The sequence below is a fragment of the Homo sapiens genome, chromosome 7 (assembly GCF_000001405.40).
Source record: "Homo sapiens chromosome 7, GRCh38.p14 Primary Assembly".
NCBI lineage: Eukaryota > Metazoa > Chordata > Mammalia > Primates > Hominidae > Homo > Homo sapiens.
The window spans coordinates 23,075,317-23,099,911 of NC_000007.14; the positions used below are offsets into that span (position 1 = coordinate 23,075,317).

General features: G+C 41.0%; 1 long non-coding RNA gene across 1 annotated transcript; it reads right to left on the reverse strand.

Annotated features, from left to right (window-relative positions):
- Window positions 1-2,385: 2,385 nt before the first annotated feature.
- Window positions 2,386-23,879, reverse strand: LOC105375186 (uncharacterized). The gene is made up of 3 exons (XR_927096.2): window positions 23,841-23,879; window positions 5,945-6,137; window positions 2,386-2,552 (listed from the first exon to the last, which is right to left on the reverse strand). It is a non-coding gene; the product is annotated as an uncharacterized LOC105375186 (long non-coding RNA).
- Window positions 23,880-24,595: the final 716 nt, after the last annotated feature.

Consider the following 24,595-nt stretch of genomic DNA (forward strand, 5'->3'; position numbering starts at 1 on the left):
AGCCAATTTTATATCTAAATTAGCAAATATTTTCTTTTGCTTACTGTATACGTGTGTGTGTGTGTGTGTGTGTGTGTGTGTGTGCATTTGGAAAAGCCAATTCTTTTGTCTAGTTGTCTAATTTCCAGTTCCCTCACTAGTGGCTTAAAAAAAACTTTGACACACTATAATGAATAACTTTGTTCAGAGATTTTGCTTTTCAAGTTTTGTATTTTTTTTCCCACACATTATCTGAGATAACTACCTTCAGTCCATAAAGACTAACAAGTTCACAGGTACTTGATCTCCGTCACTTTCTTTTTAGCTCCTAGGCTGTCTGCAGAAGGAGGGAGGCATCTTAACATTTACCCCTGGAGTACCACTTCCTTGATTATTTTGATACCTTCATGGTTGGGACCGAGAGAGATTTCTGTTGATGGCAGCACCCCAGGCCTCTCCTCTCCAGCCTCTCATCAGCTAACTGTCACCAGAAAGGAGAGAAACAGCAAATGACCTGCCCTGGCCCATTTAGATAACAAAATACCAAAGTCTTAATATAGCAAAATGCCAAAGCTCTGCGCCAAGAGAAATGGACCCAGGAGCCTTTTCTGAAAGAACTTTGCAATATTTATAACTTCCTTATTTTTGCTATATCTGTTACCCCTTGTTTCCCTAAAACAAGTAGTAAGACTTAAAATAAGAAAGGCTTATGTTGAAGGGTTATGAGAATATTTTTAACCTTTTTATTTCTGTTTAAATGTTTCCCATCCCCTATATAACCAATGTTAGTGATTGGTTTATAATTTGGTTTGCAGGCAATTTTTCTATGTATTTTCAATATGTTCTATATGTATTTTCAATATGTTCTGCTATCTTTCCAGATCAAAAGGATGTCTTTTTGAACCATTTCCCAACAGATTTTAAATGTTGGGGAATGGCATGGAATGAATTCCAGCAATGGAATACTTGGGAACTGTGCTTAACCTATTTGGAGATTCAGAAATTGATTGTTTCATAATTTGTCTGTTTGTTTTGTCTATTGCTGGAAATGTTCACGGAATAGAGAGTGGAGAAAGGTAGGTGGAAATACAAAGGGGAAGAGGGTAGAAAATAAGTCTAGAGAAGCTGTAAGGAATTACCAGGAATGCCTAGTCCACAAGTCCCCAGTGAGAAAGGAGTGGGGGAGAAGAGTTTCCACTGACTTTTCAGGGCCACTCTCATGTGTGTGTTTGCAGGTAGGGGAAGGACAATGAGGAAGGATGAAAAGAAATACTCTATAAGCTCAGAAGAACACAATTATCCTTTAAAAAGTGGAGTGGGGTGGAGGGGCAGCAGATGGACACTTCAGATGAACTGGACAAGAATGCTGATGCTCAATGGGAATAAATTTAGAAAAAGTGCATACTTCCTCTAGCCAACTTGACCTATGAAGTGAAATAAGATTAACAAACTAATTCACTCCTTCAACAGCTATTGATCAAGCATCTGGTTTATGCCAGGCACTGTATTAGTTGTTAGAATTACAGCTATCACAGCTAATATGACTATTCCAACAGAGAAGACTGATGTGTGAACAGAGAAGTAAAACACTACTTAGGTGTTCAGATAGGGAAGCACAAAGGAGGGGAAAGTAACTCAGGGTTTGTTTGTTTGTTTTAGCATTCCAGTAGAATCTGGGAAGATTTCCTGAAAGGGGAAACGTCTGAGATTAGACCTGACAAACAAGTAGAGCTAGCACCAGCGAAGCTAGCAGCAGATACTGAGACCCAGAAGCCAAAAATAGTACCGTGGGTTAGGGGGCTGATGATGATAATCCAGTTGGCAGGAACATCAAGGGCAAGAGCCAGGGGCATAGGAAGCTGGTGAGAGATAAGGCAGGAGAAGAAAGCAGATTCTCCTTATTTATATTTCAAGTAGATTTGCCTTTGATAATAGAAAGGCTAAGGTTAAGGCTAATTGTTAATTTTATTTACAGCTCACTCATTCGTGACTTGAGAAGCCAGACAACAGGCTCACAGACTTGCTCTATAAACATGTGGGAGAAAGAGCTGGCAGAAAGGAGCCTCACTGTCTGTTCCTGAAGATCCCAGGGCATAGGACGGCAGAAGTTGTTACAGAGGTGTATCAGGCCATTCTTGCATTGTTATATAAAAAAAAATACCTGAGACTGAGTGATTTATAAAGCATTGGCTTAGGCAGGCAAGGAGAGCAACCAAGTAGGCAAGAGCTGAGAGCTAAGCTGGGGTCCTGACTTGTCACCCAGGGTTAGGCGAGAGAGGAAGTCACAACTATGGAGCCAAGTCAGTGCTGGGAGGGCAGGCAGGCAGGAATGGCTGCAACAGGGGACCAGAGGAGCCACAGCACAGGGGAGTCATATAAGGTCCAATTACCCCAAGGGACCCAGGTCCACTCAGTGGATGGGTGCCTGATACTTTTGGAGAAATACTTACCTCTCTATTCAGGGTTAGTATAATAGGAAACAGTGTGGGCTTCCAGAGTCAGACTGCCTGCCACTTTCTACCTCTGTGTCCTAAGGCAGATTGCTGAATCTCTTGAAGCCTCAGTTTCCTCATCTGTAAAACAGGGGTGGTAGTATTCTCTATAGCATATTTTTTTGTTTCCATTGAATGAAATAATGAATGTGGATTGTTTAGTGCAGTGTCTAGCACATAGTGCAAACTGAATATCTGGCACCTGTATCATCACTCTGGCCACAACTTTTAGTCTGCCTTAGGTGCTACACCATTCTGGGGACCATCACTGTCCAGTTCACTCAACTGGGATTTAAGCATCAACTTTGGAAAGTACTTAGGGACAGAGACCATATCTTTTATATCCAAAATTCCCTTTAGCACGTAACGATTTGATATAATCAGCATTTATGTGTCTACTGTGTTAGGTAGTTTATGGCAATAGACACTAATTCTTTTTATTAAATAAATTACTAGAAAATGACTTCAAACAGCAAAGCTAATAGAAGGAAGCAAATAGTTTGCTAATTTACATAATGAGAAAAGTTTCCATTTGCAATCAATTACAGCACCCAGCCTAGCTTAGGGCTTTGCATAAATATTTATATACTTGAATCAAGATGGCTGTGAGATACTCTGCACCTATTTTAAGTACTCAGGAGATTCAACACTTACATTCATCTAGCAAATCTGAAGCAGAATTAAATGCCTTGGACTGAAATCCTTTCATAGAAGGATTCACAGTCATGTTATCTTCTTTAACTAAAACAGCATTTCAATTACAAGCTGTGGTTACAGTGAATTAGTGTATGACCCACAGGCAAACAGCCAACTAAGTAATTATAAGAAATGTATCAACCTAAATAATTCCTTGAGGGTCCTTGAGATACAGTATTGCCTTTCATTCCTGAGCCTTTTTCATTAGCGCATCTATGTATTAATATATAATTTACATCTTTTAAATTGAGGATATGACTAAATAATACTTTTTTTTTTTCAACTTAAGAATTGGATGAAGTTGGATGACTTAAAATGTTTGGCACTTTAATTGGAAAAAAAAAAAAGAACTGCTCCGTTTCTGGGCACCAGCATTTGAATTGACATATCGACACAAGCTGAAGACCACCAACTTGCCATTTTACAATCACCTTTGAAAGAATGTTGACCCTTATATTATACTTTCAGTGTCAGATTTTCCCTTTAAGGTTTAGCCCAAAAGTGCATGGTTATGAAGGACATTTTCTAGACTTCTTGCCTATATATGAATTTTTAAAAATATAATACTGGGCTGGGCAGGGTGACTCACACCTGTAATCCCAGCAAGTTGAAAGGCCAAGGCGGGTGGATCATTTGAGCCCAGGAGTTTGAGATCACCCTGCAAAACCCCATATCTACAAAAAAACACAAAAAATTAGCCAGGTGTGGTGGCACATGCCTGTAGTCCCAGCTACTGAGGAGGCTGAGGTTGGGGGACCCCTTGAGCCTAGGAGGTCAAGGCTGCAGTAAGCTGTGGTCACACCACTGTACTTCATCCCGGGTGACAGAGCAAGACAATGTCTGAAAAAAAATCTATCTATCTAGAGATTTCATACATATATATATCTATATCTATACACATATATGTACATATATGTGTATAGATATACACATATATGTACATATATGTGTGTATATATATACACATATATCTATATATAGATCTGTATATATATATATACACATATATATGTACATATATGTGTATAGATATATATAAAGGCAAGGCAATGTAATTACCCAGAACACCTCAAATTTGAGATCAGCAAGGAGATAATAGTGCTTGGCAATTTAATTACTCAGTTAAGAGTTCAAGGCTGAGCCCAGTTCTTCTGGCTTCTTCCTTCATGTTCAAGGCTTTGTTTAATCAGGTCTAGGTACAACACGAGAATAAACAGGAATGTGGGAAACATGCGAAATAAGTTTCCAGCCCTCCAAGGTAGATGTTTATACAGTTAACAAAGTAATAATTACCACAATAACACACAATACTTTTGATTATCTATTATGTGACAAACACCATGTTAGGTACTATATGATCCCATCTGCAATATCCCTGGTGGTAATAATAGATTCCTACAGTAATACTCCATGACATACATTATTATCTCAATTTTCTAGCTGGGAACCTCAGGTTCAGAGAGGTTAAGTAACACTCCTTGCATGCATCATAACAGCTAGTAAGAAGTAGAAGGAGAAATGTTATTAGGTCAGCTGGATTCTTTATGCCATTTTTCCTCTTAGTTAAAAAAACAAACAACTTTTCACAAAGTTTTGCCAGAAATCAGGGATGGATCCAGATTTTGAGGAGCATAAAGTTTATATGATTGCGGGAAGAGAACTTCTTTAAGAAAAAGAATACAAGATATCTTTTTATTTATTTATTTATTTATTTATTTTGAGACGGAGTCTCATTCCGTCACCCAGGCTGGAGTGCAGGGGCGCAATCTTGGCTCACTGCAAGCTCCGCCTCCCGGGTTCAAGCCATTCTCCTGCCTCAGCCTCCCGAGTAGCTGGGACTACAGGCACCCGCCACCACGCCCGGCTAATTTTTTGTATTTTTAGTAGAGATGGAGTTTCACCGTGTTAGCCAGGATGGTCTCAATCTCCTGACCTCGTGATCCACCCGCCTTGGTTTCCCAAAGTGCTGGGATTACAGGCGTGAGCCACAGCGCCTAGCCACAAGATATCTTACTTTCACAAATTTTACAAAAATATATAAGCTTGTGAATACATTGTAAGAACCTTCCCCTGTCACTTGGAAGGAGCCAGGGCAAGTGACACCTAAGCTTCATTAACATCATAGAAAATCCGCCTCTGCTGGGGACTCAACCCTTCAAGTTACCTTTGCTGGCTGAGAGAGTGAGAGAAGGAGCTTTTGTGATGCAACAGGACATTTTGATAGCTTTAGACATCTCCTGCCACCCCCAAACGTATCCATTGCTGAGGAAACTTACATGCTGCTGGGAATTAGGATGTGTGTCGATCAGTGCCTTCAACACATGAGGGTACTCTTGAGGGGAATGGAAGTGAGAACTTGTCTTTTTGCATCCCAAGTCCAATTGAGTCAAATTTGTTTGATGGACTTTGGTGGCCTAACCCAAATTAGGCAACAGGGAAGAGCAGCAAGATCCTGGGAAATCTTTACCATGAAAACAGGAAAAAGGCAGGCTAGGAGGTCAGCTGGGAAAAGTGAACCTTGCATCAGTCAATCTGCTCTCAACCCAGCCATCCTGAAGGCAGGTTTGGGGCCCAAGGAAACACCTACATGAACCATAAGAGTTTGAAGGTGGTAAGGCTGGGCCATTTTTTGTGTTGACCCATTAGCCAACAAATTGTACGTCTCTCCAAAGAGTACATCATAAGGAATGACCATAGCCTGTGCTGGGATCTGCAATAACCCTGGTGGTAATAATTAGAGCAGGTGGCCCAGCTTGAGCCACAGTTATTTGGCTTACCCTATTTAACAGTAACCTTGAGGTTCAGCTTCAGCAACAGTAGCCACAGCATGGATGGTCATGGGGCAACGGGAGTATGGCCTGGTTAGGGCACACATCTCCAGACTGCCAGTATTATAGGAAAGGGGTCCTGATCCAGATCCCAAGAGAGGGTTGGTTCTTCGATCTCAGCAAGAAAGGATTCAGGGTGAGTCTGCAGTGCAAAAAAGCAAGTTTATTAAGAAAGTAAAGTGGTGAAAGCACAGCTATTCCATACATAGAGTAGGACGTTCCTGAAAGTAAAAGAAGGAACGCATCCACCCTAGGCACAATGCTTGTATATGTGGGGAGATGTGTTCTGCTACAAGGGTTTGTGATAAAGGATTGATTTTCTTAATTACTATATTTTGCAAGGATTGACATTATTATTATTATTATTTGAGACGGAGTCACACTCTGTTGCCCAGGCTGGAGTGCAGTGGCGTGATCTCAGCTCACTGCAACCTCTGCCTCCTGGGTTCAAGTGATTCTCCTGCCTCAGCCTCCTGAGTAGCTGGGATTACAGGCACGCGCCAACATGCCCAGCTAATTTTTGTATTTTTAGTAGAGACAAGGTTTCACCATGTTGGTCAGGCTGGTCTCGAACTCCTGACCTCGTGATCTGCCTGCCTCGGCCTCCCAAAGTGCCGGCCGATACTATTTAAATCAAAATTAGGAATGCCTTTGTTCTCCAGATATCAGGATACTGGACAGTCCCAAGTCTGGGTCTGTTTTGTAAACAATATTAATCTGTTCCCTTAACCATAAATATCTAGGGGCTAGGAATGCCTAACTTTCTGAGAATGCAGCCCAGCAAGTCCCAGCCTTATTTTCCCAGCCCTCACTCAAGATGGAGTTGCTCTGGTTCAAACTCTGACTTCCTCTGACATATCTCCCCCCACCCTTTACAAGAGGACCCTTAATCCTAAGGGTTGCAGAAGGATGAAGATCCGTCTTCTGCAACTTCTTCAGGCTGAATAGGGGTGATTATATTCCTGCCTAACTATTAGGGTCTCTTGCATTCGGGGTAGAGAGAAGCTCAGTCAGAGAGCATTGGTATGGTGAAGGTCATTCATAACTCCAAGTTCTGACAAAAGGTGATATCTGGAAGATTCATAAGTGTCCAATTTAAGAAAGCATTGAGTAAACTTGTCTTGCATTCCTACACAAAGAGTACAACCACAATATATTCCACAACAGCAAAGTAAAATAAGTAAAATCATTCCAAGTAAACTAAACAGGAAGGCTCTCCAAGAGCCGGGCAGTTGTTGGAACCAAGCCGATATAGGGTCGACTGACAGTGCATCAATGGCAGAGATATGAGTGTCTAAAGCTTTCATATCCCAGATAATATTATGTGAATAGTCTGAAACATACACTCATTTGGTTTTGATCAGAGCACAAGTTCCCCCTTGGGCCGCTGTTAAAATCTCCACATACCCAACGGTTTGTCTGATTAGGTAGAGAGGCTAAAGTCTATGCCCACTCGGTAAATAAGTTACTCTCTGCATGATTCCAACCTATACCCAAAAGTAGAATGCCCATCTATATCTTTATGTTATCCATCCCTTTCATTTCTTCTGAACAGGAGTCAGAGGTCACCGATTGTCTCACAGGAATAAACGAGATCACTTGGGTTCCCTAGGCCTGTGGGACTTCCTAAGAGACAGGTTTAATTCAAGATAAGTGGACCCAGCTGTTTTTTCTCAGCAGTTTAACTGCAGTTGGGGTACTAAGGAGAACTTAAGAGGGTCCCTTCCATTTTGGGGAAAGTTAATCTGCTAGGGATCCTTCCTTCCAAGTTCTTAATAGGACCCAGTCTCCCGGCTGGGTTGTAACAAGATTCTCTTCCTTAGTGGGGGAAGGGAGTCTTCGGTTTCCATAATCAAGGAGTGTGCTTTGCACTTGTCCTAAGTCGATCACATAATTCTGTAGCTTGAAAGTATCTACGTCTATTAGGAGGTGTGTAGTTAAGAAAGGCCTTCCATACATTATTTCAAAAGGACTGAGCTGCAGACTTCCCTTAGGGGCCACTTGAACCCATAATAAGGCTACAGGTAATAAAGACAGCCAGGTTTCTGACGTCGTAGTTTAGCAAGAGTCCTTTTTAGAGTTTGATTAGTTCTTTCTACTTTCCCGGAAGACTGTGGCCTCCATGCGAATGAGGGCGGTACTGAATTCCTAGGGCTGAAGATGTGTTTGGGGTAATTGTCACTGTGAAATATGGGCCATTATTGCTCTGTAAGCTCTTAGGCAGCCAAAATCTAGAAATTATTTCCTTTAGTAGGAGTTTAGAAACCTCAATTGCCTTTTCAGACCAGGTAGGAAAAGCCTCGATCCAACCAGTAAAGGTGTCAACAAATACTAATAAATAAACACTTTACATGGGGACATGTGAGTATAGTCTATTTGCCAATCTTCACCAGGGTACGTTCCCCTATGCTGAACAGGCCTTACTAGAGGAGGAGGTAAAGACTGGTTTTTTGGGTTATTCTGGGCACACAGTTCACAGGCCTGAGTTAGTTACCTGCTTTACACTTTTAAGTAAGCCTTTCCTATTAAATACCAAGACATTAATTGAAACAGGGAATTTCTTCCCAAATGAGTAGAGTCATGCAAATGTTTAACTAGTTTCCACTGATTAGCACCTGGTATTAGCAGTTTTTTATTCTGTTTCCCTGGTGCACAAAGCTACTTCCATCTGTAAACCATTCTAACTCAGGATTATCTAGAGTATCATCTTTTAAATCCGGACAGCTGGAGTAAACTTTCTCCATAACTTGTATGCAAGAATGATCTAGGGTACCTTTGGGTTCAGGCAAATAGGTAGCTTGATTCAAAGTTTGGCTTACTTAAAGAATTATATCAGGATGTTTAGCAACAAAGCCTGATATTTATTCAAAGGAAAGGAGAAGGAGCAATTTCTTGTCTGCTTTATGATTTCCAAAAGATACTAGTATTTTCAGCTGAGTTAACAAACCCCTTCCCAACAAGGGGTGCGGCATTCAGGAGAAAACCACAGTCCCTGAAGAGGAGCTTACAGGATAGGTAAATGTCATCTATGAGCTTGTCCATCTATCCCCATGACTATACAGTTTTGGGGTGACAGAGTCCCATTATAATGGGTCAAAACAGAGTACGCATTCTAGAAGGAAGTTAATATTCTTACCTGCCACATCAAGAGTTACCGAGGCTCCTCCAGAGATATGGCTAGCTGTCCAACAGAAGCTGTGGCAGAAGGTCTGAGGCCCCATCACTCTTGGGCTTGCCTGGCTATTTCTGCCATCATTGGTTCAGGTGCTGATGGCTCCCTTCAGAACACTGGGCAATCCTTCTTCCAGTGGCCAGTTTTCTTACAGTGTGCACACTGATTCATGCCTAAGGCACAGTGACTTGGACATCCAGCTTTGGGTTTCCTACCTTTCAGCTTCCCTTGTTCAGTCCAAGAGCCAGGAGGGCAACTCCATGTGGGAGGTGAGCTTAAGGCTGCAACCAAGAGCTGCACCTTGTGGGAGGTCCTTCTTGCTCTTTCTGCTTCCTCTACTTTGTCCTTGTTATTAGAAATTTAAAATGCCATATCCAAAAGCTGTTCTAGGTTAGGCACAGTGGCTCATGCCTGTAATCCCAGCACTTTGGGAGGCCAAGGTGGGTGGATCACCTGAGGTCAGGAGTTCGAGACCAGCCTGCAACATGGTGAAACCCCATCTCTACTACAAATACAAAAAAATTAGCTGGGCATGGTGGCGCATACCTGTAATTCCAGCTACTTGGGAGGCTGAGGCAGGAGAATCACTTGAACCCAGCATGCAGAGGTTTCAGTGAGCCGAGCTCATGCCATTGCACTCCAGCCTGGGCAACAAGAGTGAAAATCCGTCTTAAAAAAAAACAACACAAAACCTGTTCAATAGGAGTTTGGGGACCCATAGCTGCTTTTTGCAGTTTCCTGTGGATATCAGGGGCAAACTGGAATATAAAGTGTACTCCCAAAGGGTTTGTCCTTCCCTTGAGGCAGGATCAGTGTTAGTATATTTCCTGATTGCCTCAACTAAACCCCCTTGAAACAAAGCTAGATTCTCGTCTTTGCCCTGTGAAACTTCCTTAACCTTTTCATAGTTAACAGGCTTTTTCATACATTTCTTTATCCCTTCCAACAAACAAGAGACCATATTATCTCTACTCCCCAAGTCGTCACTGCACCTTTGATAGTTCCACCCTGGATCTTGATCTGGAACTGCTATACCTCCTGCCTGATATATATTATGGTTAGGGTTACGAGCCAATACCTCATCTGCATGGGTCCTAGCTGTCCCCAAAATGTGTTGTTTTGGCTGAGCACGGCGGCTCACATTTGTAATCCCAGCACTTTGGGAGGCCAAGGCAGGCAGATCACCAGGTCAACAGACCGAGACCATCGTGGCCAACATGGTGAAACCTTGTCTCTACTAAAAATATAAAAATTAGCTGGGCATGGTGGTGCGCACCTGTAGTCCCAGCTACTCGGGAGGCTGAGGCAGGAGAATCGCTTGAATCCAGGAGGCAGAGGTTGCGGTGAGCCAAGATCGTGCCACTGCACTCCAGACTGATGACAGAGCAAGACTCTGCCTCAAAAAAAAAAAAGGTGTTGTTTTTCTTCCACTGTACAACACAGAAACAACAAAACATGCTGATTCTGCCAAGTTAAACTACAGGTGAGAGTTAATTTCTCAAACTCATCTATGAATTTTCCTGGATCTTCAGAGAAATGACCAAACTTATCTTTACATAGAGCCAAATCAGACATAGAAAAGGAAACATACTCTCACAGTGCTCTGGTTCAAATGCCTCTGACACCAGGGCTTCAGAAGGTCACTGGGTGTCTTACTCAACAGTGCATGAGCAGCAGGTTCTGGAGTTACAGCATGGGAGTAGCTCTGTGGAACCCTTTAGCCCCAAGGGGGCGCACTGAGTTTGGTGTTTGCCAAGAGGAAAATAATAGCTAGAAGAACAGACACCTGGACATGTTTCAGCACCCCTGGGGCTTTTTGGAAATACTTGGGAAGGAAAACTCAGAAAAAAAAAAAAAAAAAAAAAAAAAAAAAAAAAAAAAAAAAAAAAAAAAGACGGACTTCCTGCAGTCAAGCATGCACGCTAAATTGGATAGTAAAAGGACCTGTGACTGGTAAGGGTCATATAAGGACATGTTTTTTCCAGGTCACTCTGAATACTTCTTTGCCTCCACTGGATCTGTTTCTTCCTTGGGCTCTGATTTCATAATCTGCTTTTGCTCATTTGTTTTATTTTCCTTGGAGACCTCATCCTGCATCTTCAATGACTTACTGGACATTTTTATATGTACATTATCTCCAACTCAGTTTGTCTGAAATCTACCTCAACCAAAAATCCTTACAAGTCAATAAGAAAAAAAAATCCAAAAGAAAAATGAACAAAAATATAAACAGGCAATTCACAGAAGAAAAAATACAAATAGTCAATAAATGTATGAAAACATGCCTAATCTCATTAAGAATTTTAAAAATAACAAGGAGGTGGGAGGATTGCTTGAGACCAGGAGTTCGAGACCAGCCTGGGCAATATAGTGAGACCCTGTCTCTACAAAAACAACAAAAAAAGAAAAATTAGCTGGGCATGGCAGTGCACACCTCTAGTCCTAGCTACTCAGGAGGCTGAGGCAGGAGGATTGCTCGAGCCCAGAAGATAGTTAGCTATAATTGTGGCACTGTACTCCTGGTGACATAGTGAGACACTGTCTCAAAAATAATAACACTGAAAAGTCTTTTTTTTTTGTATGTCATATTGATAAAGATTTCCAAAACCTAGGATTCCATTGTCATTTTATATATATATATAAAGCTCCTTTTAAAAAGTGATCCCAGCCGAGCGCAGTGCTCAAGCCTGTAATCCCAGCACTTTGGGAGCCCAAGGCAGGTGAATCACAAGGTTGGGAGTTCGAGACCAGCCTGGCCAACATGGTGAAACCCCGTCTCTACTAAAAATACAAAAATTAGCTGGGCGTGGTGGCACACCATCTGTAGTCCCAGCTACTCGGGAGGCTGAGGCAGGAGAATTGTTTAAACTCAGGAGGCGGAAGTTGCAGTGAGCCGATGTTGTGCCACTGCACTCCAGCCTGGCAACAGAGTAAGACTCTGTCTCAAACAAACAAACAAACAAACAAAAAGTGATCCCAATATCTCCAAGCTTGTTACCAGCTTAAATCTGTTAAATCTTTAGGTGCTTTTAAAAGTACTAAGGCAGTTCAAATAACATTTATTGCTCAAATGTACAAAAGCCTCCATGGCCTCATAGTTGTTTTTTAAAAAACAATTTTATTGAGGTATAATGGACATAAAATAAACTGCATATATTTAAAATGTACAATTAGATAATTTTTGCGCCCGTTAAATCATCACCACAATCAAGATCATGAACATATCCGTATCCCAAAATGCTTTCTCTATCCTTTTTTGTTTTTGAGAGAGAAAGTCTCACTCTATTGCCTAGGCTGAAGTGCAGTGGCACAATCTCGGCTCACTGCAACCTCTGCCTCCCGAGTCCAGGTAATTCTCATGCTTCAGACTCCCAAGTAGCTAGGATTACAGGCAAGCACCACCACGCCTGGCTAATTTTTGTACATTTAGTAGAAATGGGTTTTCACCATGTTGGCTAGGCTGGTCTCTAACTCCTGGCCTCAAGTGATCCACCTGCCTCGGCCTCCTAAAGTGCTGGGATTACAGGTGTGAGCCACTGCACCTGGCTTCATACATCTTTTTAATCCTATCTTCTTATTCCTCCTTTTCTTAAACCCATGTCCCAGGCAACCACTGATTGCTTTCTGTCACTAAATATTAGTTTGCATCTTCTAGAACTTTCTATAAATGTGTACATTTATAGAATGATACAATGTGTACTTTTTGTCTATATTATTCTACTCAGCATAATTATCTTGATATTTATGCATTTGTTGTATGTTCATTCCTTCTTATTGCTGCAGAATATTCCATTATATGGATACAGTCCTTTTTTAAATCCCTTTGCCTACTAATGGATAGTGGGTTGTTTTCAGTTTTTGGGTATTATAAATAAATCTGTTTGAACATTTACATACAGGTCTTTGTAAAGACGTATGCTTTCATTTCTTTTGGGTCAATACCTAGGAGTGGAGTAGCTAATTCATATCGGAGGCATATTGTTAGGAAACTGCCAAACTGCTTTCCAAAGTAGTTGTACATTTTGCATTCCCACTTGGCAGTGTATGAGAGCTCCAGTGCTTCCATATTTTCACCACCACTTGATATGGTCAACTGTTTTAAGTTTAGATATTCTTTCAGGTGTAAAGTGGCATCTTACTGTGGTTTTAATTTGTATTCCCCTGATAAATAAAAATGTTGAGCATCTTTTCATGTGATTTTTTCCTACCTATGTATATTCTTTGGAGAATTATCTCCTCAAATCTTTGGCCCATATTTTCCCCAAATGGTTTTTTTTTTCTTACTGAGTTGAGAGTTCATTATATGTTCTGGATACAAGACTTTTATCAGTATGTGATTTGGAAATATTTTCTCCCACACTGTAGTTCGTCCTTTCGTCCTCTTAACAGTGCCTTTTGAAGAGCAGATGTTCTTAATTTTCACAAATCCCAAATTATCAGCACCAAGCTCAGAGGGGCATGTGAAGGTAAAGGGAGACTATATAGAGAAAATACGTAACACAGTGATTGGCGCACAGTAAGTGCTCACTAAATGGTAGTTTTTGTCTATTTTACTGAAGGAAAACATGGCTTAAATACTTAAAACTAATTATCAGCTTAAATCCCTCATTTTCTTACTTTATATGATTGTGAGCCTTGCGGGCAGGAATTGGGGATCAAGGCAATTTTCTGGGGCTCTTTCCATATGTGAACATTCACAGCCATGGGTAATTCTCTTTTGTTGGCAATGATAAAATTCTATTTGCTAGACAAAAGCATATACTAAATAATTTCAAAGCATTTTATTTTAAGAGATATAATCTAACAGAAATAGTGACAACCATTTAACATTAATCTAAATAAAATTGAAATAAAAAAGCAGACCAAACTTGTGTTTTCCGTTATTGGTTGTTATGATGAATGTAAATGAATTATTTCTAGGAGGGAAATCACTCAGTGTCAATTGTATTTATCAAGAAACATTCACTCCTATTCAAGTTATTCTTTTATGTCACATCAAACTCCTATTATCTTTTATCACAGTCATTTTCTGACAGTTATATGTGATAAAGCTATGGTAGCTGGTGAAATAGATAAAACAAAACAAAAAGGTAGTAAAATGGGCCGGGCATGGTGGCTCACGCCTGTAATCCCAGCACTTTGGGAGGCTGAGGTGGGCGGATCACGAGGTCAGGAGATCGAGACCATCCTGGCTAACACGGTGAAACCCCATCTCTACTAAAAATACAAAAGAATTAGCTGGGTGTGGTGGCGGGCGCCTATAGTCTCAGCTACTCGGGAGGCTGAGGCAGGAGAATGGCATGAACCCGGGAGGCGGAGCTTGCAGTGAGTCGAGATCATGCCACTGCACTCCAGCCTGGGCGACAGAGCAAGACTCCGTCTCAAAAAAAAAAAAAAAAAAAAAATAGTAAAATGGACAGAGTAGGAAGCATTATATATTACCCTTGAGTCCTGAAGAATAAAGAGAATGTTTATTCCCCAGTCATGCCAGGGCAAAAAAGAGTAATGACAATTTGTTTTCACTGAGAAGGGAGGCATTGCTGAACAATATGTGCCAATTTGGGTGCTAAACGGTATTAATAGTTTAGAGTTGAGTTTTGAGAATCCTACTACTAACCCACTGCCCTACCAGGCAGGGTACCCAAGTATAAAAGCCACCCGTAGACGTGAGAAGCAAGAGTCAGAAGGGAGAAAATACCATTTTATGAACAGCTAGAGAAGCACTCACAGCCCCTCAAGGCAGAACTCTGGCAGAGCCAGAGTGGAGAATGCAACTCGGCAGACAGCCTCCCACCCTGGCCAGCACCCCCTAAATCAGAAATGGCCGTGTCAGAGGGGCAGAGCTCAGCCTGACTTACACATCAAATTGCAGGCTGGAAGAAGCTCAAATAAATAGACCTGCCCAACAGATACAAGCCCTGCCTGGGCATTTTTCAACTTCATAGAATTAGATAATGAGTGATGAGTGTGGGTGCCGTTCTTTAAATGCATAGTGACTCTACCCACTAGTAAAATGGTACCCAATGACTATTAGGCTCTGACCAATTAGATTAGCAGCTACTCCTTCCTTGGGGCAGAGCTATTTCGAGAGGTAAAAGGAGTGGATGTCTGGGAAAGAAGCAAAATGTTTTGGCTGGTTAAGTGAGAGTAGGCAGACATGCTCCTCTTTCCCCCCATCCACGTTCCCCATCCCCTCCCCCATAAGGAGCACCTTTTGACATGAGCAGAAATATTGAAGCTGTGACACTTGGTGGAGAAAAGAGTAGTTAGTGTCCCAGTGGACTAAAAATTAGAACCTGAAATTTAATCATGCTTCAACCACATGCAAAGTGACTTTGGAAAAATGGCTTAGCCTTTCTATGATTATATTCCCATCCTTAAAAGAGAAACACATGTAAAATATCATAAGAAATAATAAATATGCAAATATCCTATGAAAAATAAAATAATATAAAATATAAGGAAGATTGTTTCTGATGGAGCAGATATATAATACGTAGGAGAAAATGTTAATTTCTGATCTGAGAAAAAAGAAGAGACAAGAAATAAGCAACTACTGGACCATGCAGTTTGAGACTGATAAAACTGGGATATTCCCAAGTACAAATTTTTAAAAAGGAAATAACTGGGAAATAATTTAGATTCTGGACTATAAACAATGTCAGAATCATAAGCTTAAAGTGACATAAGGATGGTGATGTTCGTTTTTAGAGTGGTAACACTTTGAATATTCCTAGTTTCCATGTTTATTGCCCTTTTTTTTTTGCTAATCATTCATTTGTTTTGGTTTTTGTATATAAATTAAATTTAATATAGATAAACTTAATATTATATAATTAGATGATTAGATATGCAAAATGCATAATAACCATGTACCTAGCATCTTGCTTAAGAAAAACAAAACAAAAATAAAACACACATTACCCAAAGTGTCGAAGCTTCAAGTGAACTCAACCTAAAATTCACCCATCTCCCTTCCTCACGTAGCTAACCATTATACTAATTTGGTGTTTATCATTCACATACTTTTTAAAAAATAATACTTTTACTACCGATGTGTCAATTTCTAAACAATACATTGGTTTACTATTTCTTACACTTCAACACCATTTTAATGGCTTCATAATGGTGCATCTTTATGCATCTTACTTTCTTTCCTCTATATTATGTTACTGAATCTATGTTTATTCCTATGGCTCTAACTCATTTTTTACTGCAATATAATTATGGTACAGTGTGCCTTCTTTATTATTTTCCTATAAGTGGACATTTAGATTGTTTACAACCAAAAAATACTGCCATGAATGTGCTATTCCCATATATCTCTCCTTGTAGATATGCCCAGTCTAGGTGTGAAGTTGCTTAGGGAGTATGCATTGTCAGCTTTACTAGATTTCGTCAAATTGTTGTCCAAAGTGACTGTGCCAAATTATAATATTGCCAGCAATGGATAAATGCTAAATATCCTTAGTAATATTTGGTATTGTATCCCTGTAGAATTTTGGTCAATCAGATGGATGGATGGATGCCAAAACCTATCTCATTTTGTTTTTTTATATTTATTTTGAGTTGAGGTCTCGCTCCGTTGCCCAGGCTGGAGTGCAGTGGTGCAATCTTGGCTCACTGCAACCTCTGCTCCCAGGTTCAAGTGATTCTTGTGCCTCAGCCTCCCGAGTAGCTGGAATTACAGTCAACCACCACCACACTCAGCTAAATTTTTTTTGTATTTCTCGTAGAGACAGAGTTTTACCATGTTGACCGGGCTGGTCTCGAACTCCAGACCTCAAGTGATCTGCCCAACTCAGCCTATCTCATTTTGGATTTAACATGCACTTCTTAGGTTACTAGTGATGTTGAACACATTTTTATATGTTTATTGGTCATTCCAATTTCCTTTTGAGTACATTTTCTAATTATTTATTTTGTCCTTTTTTAAAGATGTTTTTCTTATGGACTTGTAAGCATTTTTTTATATCCTAGATACTAATTCATTCTCAATCACATGTGCTTCTGGGATCGCAAGACTTTATCAGGACATGATGCATTATATTGTCAAGATGTGGTCCAATATGCCAGGATGTATAAAATATGAAACTTCAAACATAGACAAACTCACTGTTGGTAGTACTGTTATAAAAACATAGTAATTCTGATAAATTCTATTTCATGCATTTCCCCTCAAAAATGAAGAAAAAGTTGCATTTATAATTTTTAAAAATATGCCAGGCACAGTGACTCATGCCTATAATCCCAGCACTTTGGGAGGCCAAGGCGGGTGGATCACTTGAACTTAGGAGTTTGAGACCAGCTTGGGCAACATTACAAAACTCCGTATCTACAAAAAATACAAAAATTAGCTGGGCGTGGTGGCACACACCTGTAATCCCAGCTACTTAGAGGCTAAGGCAGGAGGATCAATTGAGCCTAGGAGGCGAAGTTTGCAGTGAGCTGAGATCACATTACTGCACTCCAGCTTGGGTGACAGTGAGATCTCATCTCAAAAAAATAAATAAAAACAGCTATAGTAAATATAATTTGCATACCATAAAGTTTACCCCTTTACAATATACAATTCAGTGGTTTTTAGTATACTCACAAAGTTGTGCATTTATCACCACCATCTAATTCCAGAACGTTTTTATCACTCCAAAAAAAAAAAAGCATACGTATAAGTAGCAAATTCTCATTGCCTCCTTACCACCCCCAATCCCTGGCAAACAATATTCTACTTTCCATCTCTTTGGATTTGTTTATTCTGGGGATTTCATGTGAATGAAACACGTAAGTTGTGGTCTTTTGTGTCTGACTTCTTAGACTTAGCATAATGTTTTAAAAGTTCATTCACATTATACATGTATCAGAATCTAATTTCTTTTTATGATTCAGTAATGACTAATGTTCCATGTTATGGAACATTACCATTATATGGAATATACCACATTTTGTTTATCCAGTCATTAATTGATAAACATTTGAGTTGTTTTCACTTTCTGGCTATTATGAGTAACAGTGTTACAAACGTCTGTGCCCACATTTTTGTGTGGACATATTTTCAATTGCCTTGTATATATATCTAGGTGTGGAATTCCTGGGTCATATAATAATTCCTTTTTAAAAAAAAAACAACATTTTGAGGAACTGCTGAACTGTTTTCCAAAGTGGCTGCATCATTTTACAATCCCATGAGTAATGTATGGGCATTCCAAATTCTCCACATCCTGCCAACACTTGTTATTATACATTTTTAAAATTACAGTCACCCTAGTGGGTGTGAAGTGGTATCTTGTAGTTCTGATTTATTTTTTTATTTAGTCTCAGATGACTAACGGAACTGAGCATCTTTCATGTGCTTATTGGCCATTTGTCTGTCTTCTGGGGAGAAATGTCTGTTAAGATCCTTTACCCATTTTTAAATTGGGTTATTGGTGTTTTTTCATATTCTGGACACAAGTTCCTTTTCCAATATATGATCTTCAAATATTTCCTGTGATTCCATGGGCTGACTTTTCACTTTCTTGATGGTATCCTTTGAAGAACAAAAGATTTTCATTTTTATGAAGTCCAAATTATCTATTTTTTTCTTTTGTTGCTTGTGCTTTTGGTGCCTAGGAAGCCACTGCCCAAACCAAAGTCACAAAGATTTAAGCATATGTTTTCTTCTAAGAGTTTTACAGTTTTTCCTCTTATATTTAGTTCCCATTTAATTTTTGTATATGATGTGAGATAGGGATCTCAATTCATTCTTTTGCATGTGGCTATCCAGTTATATTAACATAATTTGTTGAAAAATAAAATATTCCTTCTCTCATTAAATGGTCTTGACACTCTTCTTGAAAATCAATTTACCATAACTACAAGAATTTATTTCTGGCCTTTCAATTCTATTCCGTTGATCTATACTTGCATTCTTATGTTAGTACTACATATTAACTTTGTAGTAAGTTTTAAAATATGGAAGTTTAAAATTTTTCAACTTTGCCTTTTTCTTTCAAAATGTTTTGACTATTCTGAGTTCCTGGCATTTCTTTTAGACTGAGTTTTGCTCTATCACCCAGGCTGGAGTGCAGTGGTGTAATCTCAGCTCACTGCAACCTCCGCCTCCCAGGTTCAAGTGATTCTCCTGCCTCAGCCTCCCCAGTAGCTGGAACTACAGATGCATGCCACCACTCCTGGCTAATTTTTGTATTTTTAGTAGAGATGGTGTTTCACCATGTTGGCAGGCTGGTCTCGAACTCCTGACCTCAAGTGATCGAATAGCCTCGACCTCCCAGAGTACTGGGATTACAGGTGGGAGCCACCATGCCTGGCCTCTTGGTGTTTCCATATTAATTTTAGAATTATCTTGTTGATTTCTGTGAAAAAAAAATAGGAGTTGGGATTTCGATAATAATTACATTGAATCTGTAGATCAACTTGGAGAGTACTATTATTTTAACAACGTTAAGTCTTTCACTCCATTATCATGGGATATTTTTCATTTATTTAGGTCTTCTTTAATTTTTTTCTATGATGTTTTATATTTTCCAGTGTATAAGCCTTGTACTTCCTTTGTTAAATTTATTCCTATTTTATTCTTGTTTATGCTATGATAGAATATTTTCTTAATTCCATTTTCATATTTATTATTTTTTAAGTTAGTACACAGAAAAACAACAGATTTTTGTATCTTGATCTTGTATCCTGAAACATTGCTGAATTTGTATTAGCTCTAATGCTGTGTGTGTGTATGTGTGTGTGCGTGTGCATGTGTGTGCGTGTGTTCCTTAGTATTTTTTATATATAAGTTAACGTCAATTGTGAATAAAGATAGTTTTCCTTCCTGCTTTCCAAGCTTAATGTCTTTTAATTCTTTTTCTTACATAATTGCCCTGGTTAGAACCTACAGTACAATGTTGAATAGAAGTGGAGACATGAGACATCTTTGTCTTCCTAATATTAGAGGGAAAATTTTCAGTCTTTCAACATTAAGTATGATATTAGCTGTGGGTTCTTCATAGATGCCCTTTAATGGGTTGAGGAAGTTCCCTTCTATTCATAATTTACTGAATGTTCTTGTCATGAAAGGGTGCCAGATTTTTTCAACTGCCTTTTCCACATCTATAATCATGTTATTTTTGTTTTTTATGCTATTAATATAATATATATTACATTGATTGATTTTTCATATGTTAAACCAACCTTGCATTCCTGGGATAAATCCCTCTTGGTCATGGTGTATAATCCTTTTTATATAAAAAATCACTTAAAACAATAATTCTTTTACTCTGCCAAAGGGTTCTATGTGTGTGTTGGGTTGCACCTTTAATGCTCCAGCAGGCAGCTTATAATTCTGCCTTACCTGTCACTTGTTGCTTGCATAGAGCCACAAAAGTCAACCAGAGGTAAGAGTTTCAGGCCTTCTCAGGTTTCTCCTGGCCTTCTAGATTCCCAAATATATGTCATAGTTTTCAAAGCCAACTATGGACATCTCATTACCTAATGTGGTGATTAATTTAAGGTGTCAATTTGACTAGGTTAAAGATACCCAGTAACTGGTAAAACATTATTTCTAGGAATACTGTGAGGATGTTTCCAGAAGACATTAAGCATTTGAATCAGTAGATTGAGTAAAGAAGACCCGCGGTCACCAATGTAGGCAGGTCATTCAAACCATTGATGACAGATAGAACAAAGAAGCAGAAAAAGTTTGAATTTGCTCTCTCTGAGCTGAAACAGCCATCTTTTCGTACCCTCAGACATCAGAACTCCAGATTCTCAGCTGGGCGTGGTGGCTCACGCCTATAATCTTAGCACTTTGGGAGGGACCTTAGGAACCTTACCTGAGGTCAGGAGTTCAAGACGAGCCTGGCCAACATGGTGAAACCCTGTCTCTTCTAAAAATACAAAAATTAGCTAGGCATGGCGGCACATGCCTGTAGTCCCAGCTACTCAGGAGTCTGAGGCAGGAGGATCACTTGAACCAGGGAGGTGGACGTTGCAATGAGCCAAGATCGAGCCACTGCACTCCAGCCTGGGCGAGAGAGTGAGACTCCGTCTCAAAAAAAAAAAAATGAACTCCAGATTCTCAGGCAAATGGACTCAGACTTACATAAGCAGTCCCTCCAGTTTTTCAGGCCTTCAGCCTAGGACTGAGAGTTAAACCATCTGCTCCCCTGGTTCTTAGGCTTTTGTACTCAGATAATTGCACCAACAGCTTCCCTGGTTTTGCAGTTTGCAGACAACCCATCTTGGGACATCTTAGCCTCCATAATTGTATGAGCCAATTCCCATAACAAATCTGTGTATATTTATGTATGTATGTATGCATGCATTTATGTATGTATATGTGATAGCAGCAGCAGACCATCTGGAGTGGCCACACTGTGAAGACACAGGCTGCAGTGGGGGAAGTGCAGCTGGGGCTGTGCACTCCCCAGAGCTAGCAGGGGCCAGGAATAGGTGGGAGCTCCTTGCCTTACCAAGTTGGTAGGCTAGGAGCACCATGCTCTGGGGCACAGCTGTAGCCACCCAGCCACAACTCCAGACCTGGGCATCCCTGTGCTCTCAGGGACTGGGAAGCTCCCCTGCTCCCGCAGGCTTGGAAGTGCCTGCTCCTGCTCTGTGGCCTCTCCCTGCTCCCAGCACCTGCTCTGGGGCAGAGCAAAGTTGTGGTTGAGCCTGGGCATTGTCATAACCTGGCCAGCTGTACATGGGCTCAGGGTGGTGCTGACACAACAGCCCCCAGCCACCTCAGCCCCCTCCAGACTTTGGGCGCCAAAGAGCATGGGAGGGAGATGGGAGGGGCAGTGACTGAGGGCAGCTTGGCATGGGCCTGCAGACACCCCTCAGTGTGGACAGCCAAGGTGCCATGGATGACATGTTGATGAGGGCAGGAGGCAGACAGGTTCCTGGATGGGAAGGGGCAGGTCCCCAGTAAAGCCCCTCCTTCGAGCCAAGAATGGCCTGAAGCCTGGGGGCCAGGCTGCCAGTTCTGGGTAGAGTCTGTGGCCCAGAGTGAGAACTTACGGTGCTTTTCCTGGGCCCACCCATGGCTGCCCATGGACCAATGAGCACACACTTCCTCCTTTCTGAAGCCCATAAAAACCCCAGACTCACACAGATTTCAAGACTACAAGCTGTGGGAAGGAGCTATCCAATTCGAGTCTCCTTGACTCATCAGGATGACCTGCCTGCAGAAAAGAGCTACCCACTATGGGTCTCCTCTCCACTGAGAGCTGGACACTCATCAGGATGACCTACCTGCAGAAAGGAGCTACCCACTTCAGGTCTCCTGAGAGCTGTTCTGTCACTCAATGAAGCTCCTCTCCACCTTGCTTGCCCTCTCCACCTTGCTTGCTTACCTCATTCTTCCTGGATTCAGGATAAGAGCTCAAGACCCAACAAATGACAGGACTGAAAGAGCTATAACACAAACAGGCATGAAACACGCCCCCCTGCTTGCCATGTTATGGACAACAAGAAGGAGAGAAGAGCTGTGGCCCTTCGGGAAGCCCAGACCTAGGGACTCCCCAGCCAGGGCTGTGACACCCTCTTTAGGGCTGTGTGGTTCCTGGCATCTCCAAGCTTCCGGGTGCCACTGTGTTCCCTTCATCCAGATGTGGGTGTCTGCAACAGAATCTGCACACAGAACATTTGGACCAGCCACAGCCTCGCACGGAGCCAGCACCTGTGCTGGCGCCTGGAGCTGCCTGCCTTGCCACAGTAGCCAGCCTGCCTGGCTGTGCACAGTGGCCGGACCCCACGCTCACTGGCCCACACACTCCTCACCATTCTGAACCTGGTTTGCTGTTGGCAGGTGTGGGATCCGGGCCGGTAGCCTGAGCTGAGCACAGCTTGCCAGGCCGAGTGGGCAAAACAAGTCCAGCAGGTGCAAGCAATATTCAGGCAGAAGGTACCACTAGCCACAGAGGTTTCTGGCTGGTGAAGCAACACCCTAAGGATCCTGTGACATATGTATGTATACATGTGTGTATGTATGTATCATCTATCTATCTATCTATCTATCTATCTATCTATCTATCTATCTATCTATCTTTCCATCCATCCATTCATCTTATTGGTTCTGTTTCTCTGGAGAATCCTGACTAATATACTCAGTTTTTCCATTTAAGTGTTTAGGTCAGCATTTTGAAAGCCCTAAATGGCAATACTGCCTTAGGCAGCTACAATATTAAACAACTGCTGCTTATTGTCTTTGTCAAATTCCCTGCTGGCGGAGCTGTTTGCACAAAGTGAGCTCTGATTCATGTCAAATAAATACAAGCCCTGAGAACGGAGCTTTTCAGTAAGGTGCCAGACAGGCTGAACACTAAAAACACCCTAGGGATGAGGCTTTTGAGGACCTCTTAACCTGTTCTGACTTCTCCAATGACAGTGGGCTGGTGGGTTTCACAGCTACCATAGTTGTGAAGCTGTTGGTTTTTAAGGCTACTATAAAGCTAGAGAGAGTGAGAAGGGATTAGGAAGAGTTAAAACACCTCAAGTCTCATTGTTATGAGATTCAGCCATTTGTCTTAAATAACTACTTCTTGGATTGTTATAAGCTTTTAGTTAGTTTCCAGAGATCTGAAAAAGTTAATTTTGACAATTTCCCAGTGTTCCTGTTGCTTTTATGGAGGAGTAGATTTTCAGAGGCCCTTATTTTACCTTTCTGGGAGTTGAGGTCACACTTACCATTCATACGTCATATTGTAAAATATACACACGACTGGCTGGGCATGGTAGCTCACACTTGTAATCTCAGCACTTCGGGAGGCCAAGGTAGGCAGATTACCAGAGGTCAGGAGTTGGAGACCAGCTTGTCCAACATAGTGAAACCCCGTCTCTGCTAAAAATACAAAAAAAAAAAAAAAAATTAGCCAGGCATGGTGGCAGGCACCTGTAATCCCAGCTACCTGGGAGGCTGAGGCAGGAGAATCACTTGAACCCAGGAGGTGGCAGTTGCAGTGAGCCAAGATTGCACAACTGTACTCCATGCTGGGCAACAGAGTGAGACTCTGTCTCAAAAAAAAATGCATGACATATATATTCCTTCCACTTCTGATTGGAAGTGAGTACCAACCTTCTGCTTAAAATTTTACGTATTTGATGACTGAAGAATTTTCCATAGACCAGCTTGTGGCTTAGCTGATGAAACCTGTTTAAAACTTGCTTCTCCTCCACTACTTAAATACTTTCAGTGCTGGTTACTGTAAGACATATTAGGAGATCTCAGGCCCTGCATCTTTGGCATCACAAGATAGGGTTGGCACAGTGGGACTAGGGACTATTCCTGAATGCCATTCTTACATTACAAGGGCTGGAAATAGCTTAACTGTATGGAAGTAACTGTGATCTACAAATATATATCCTGCTAGATGCCAAAAAATATATCCTCAGTTCAATTTGTGATTTGTTCCCAAAGATATATATGGCAATTTCAACACCAC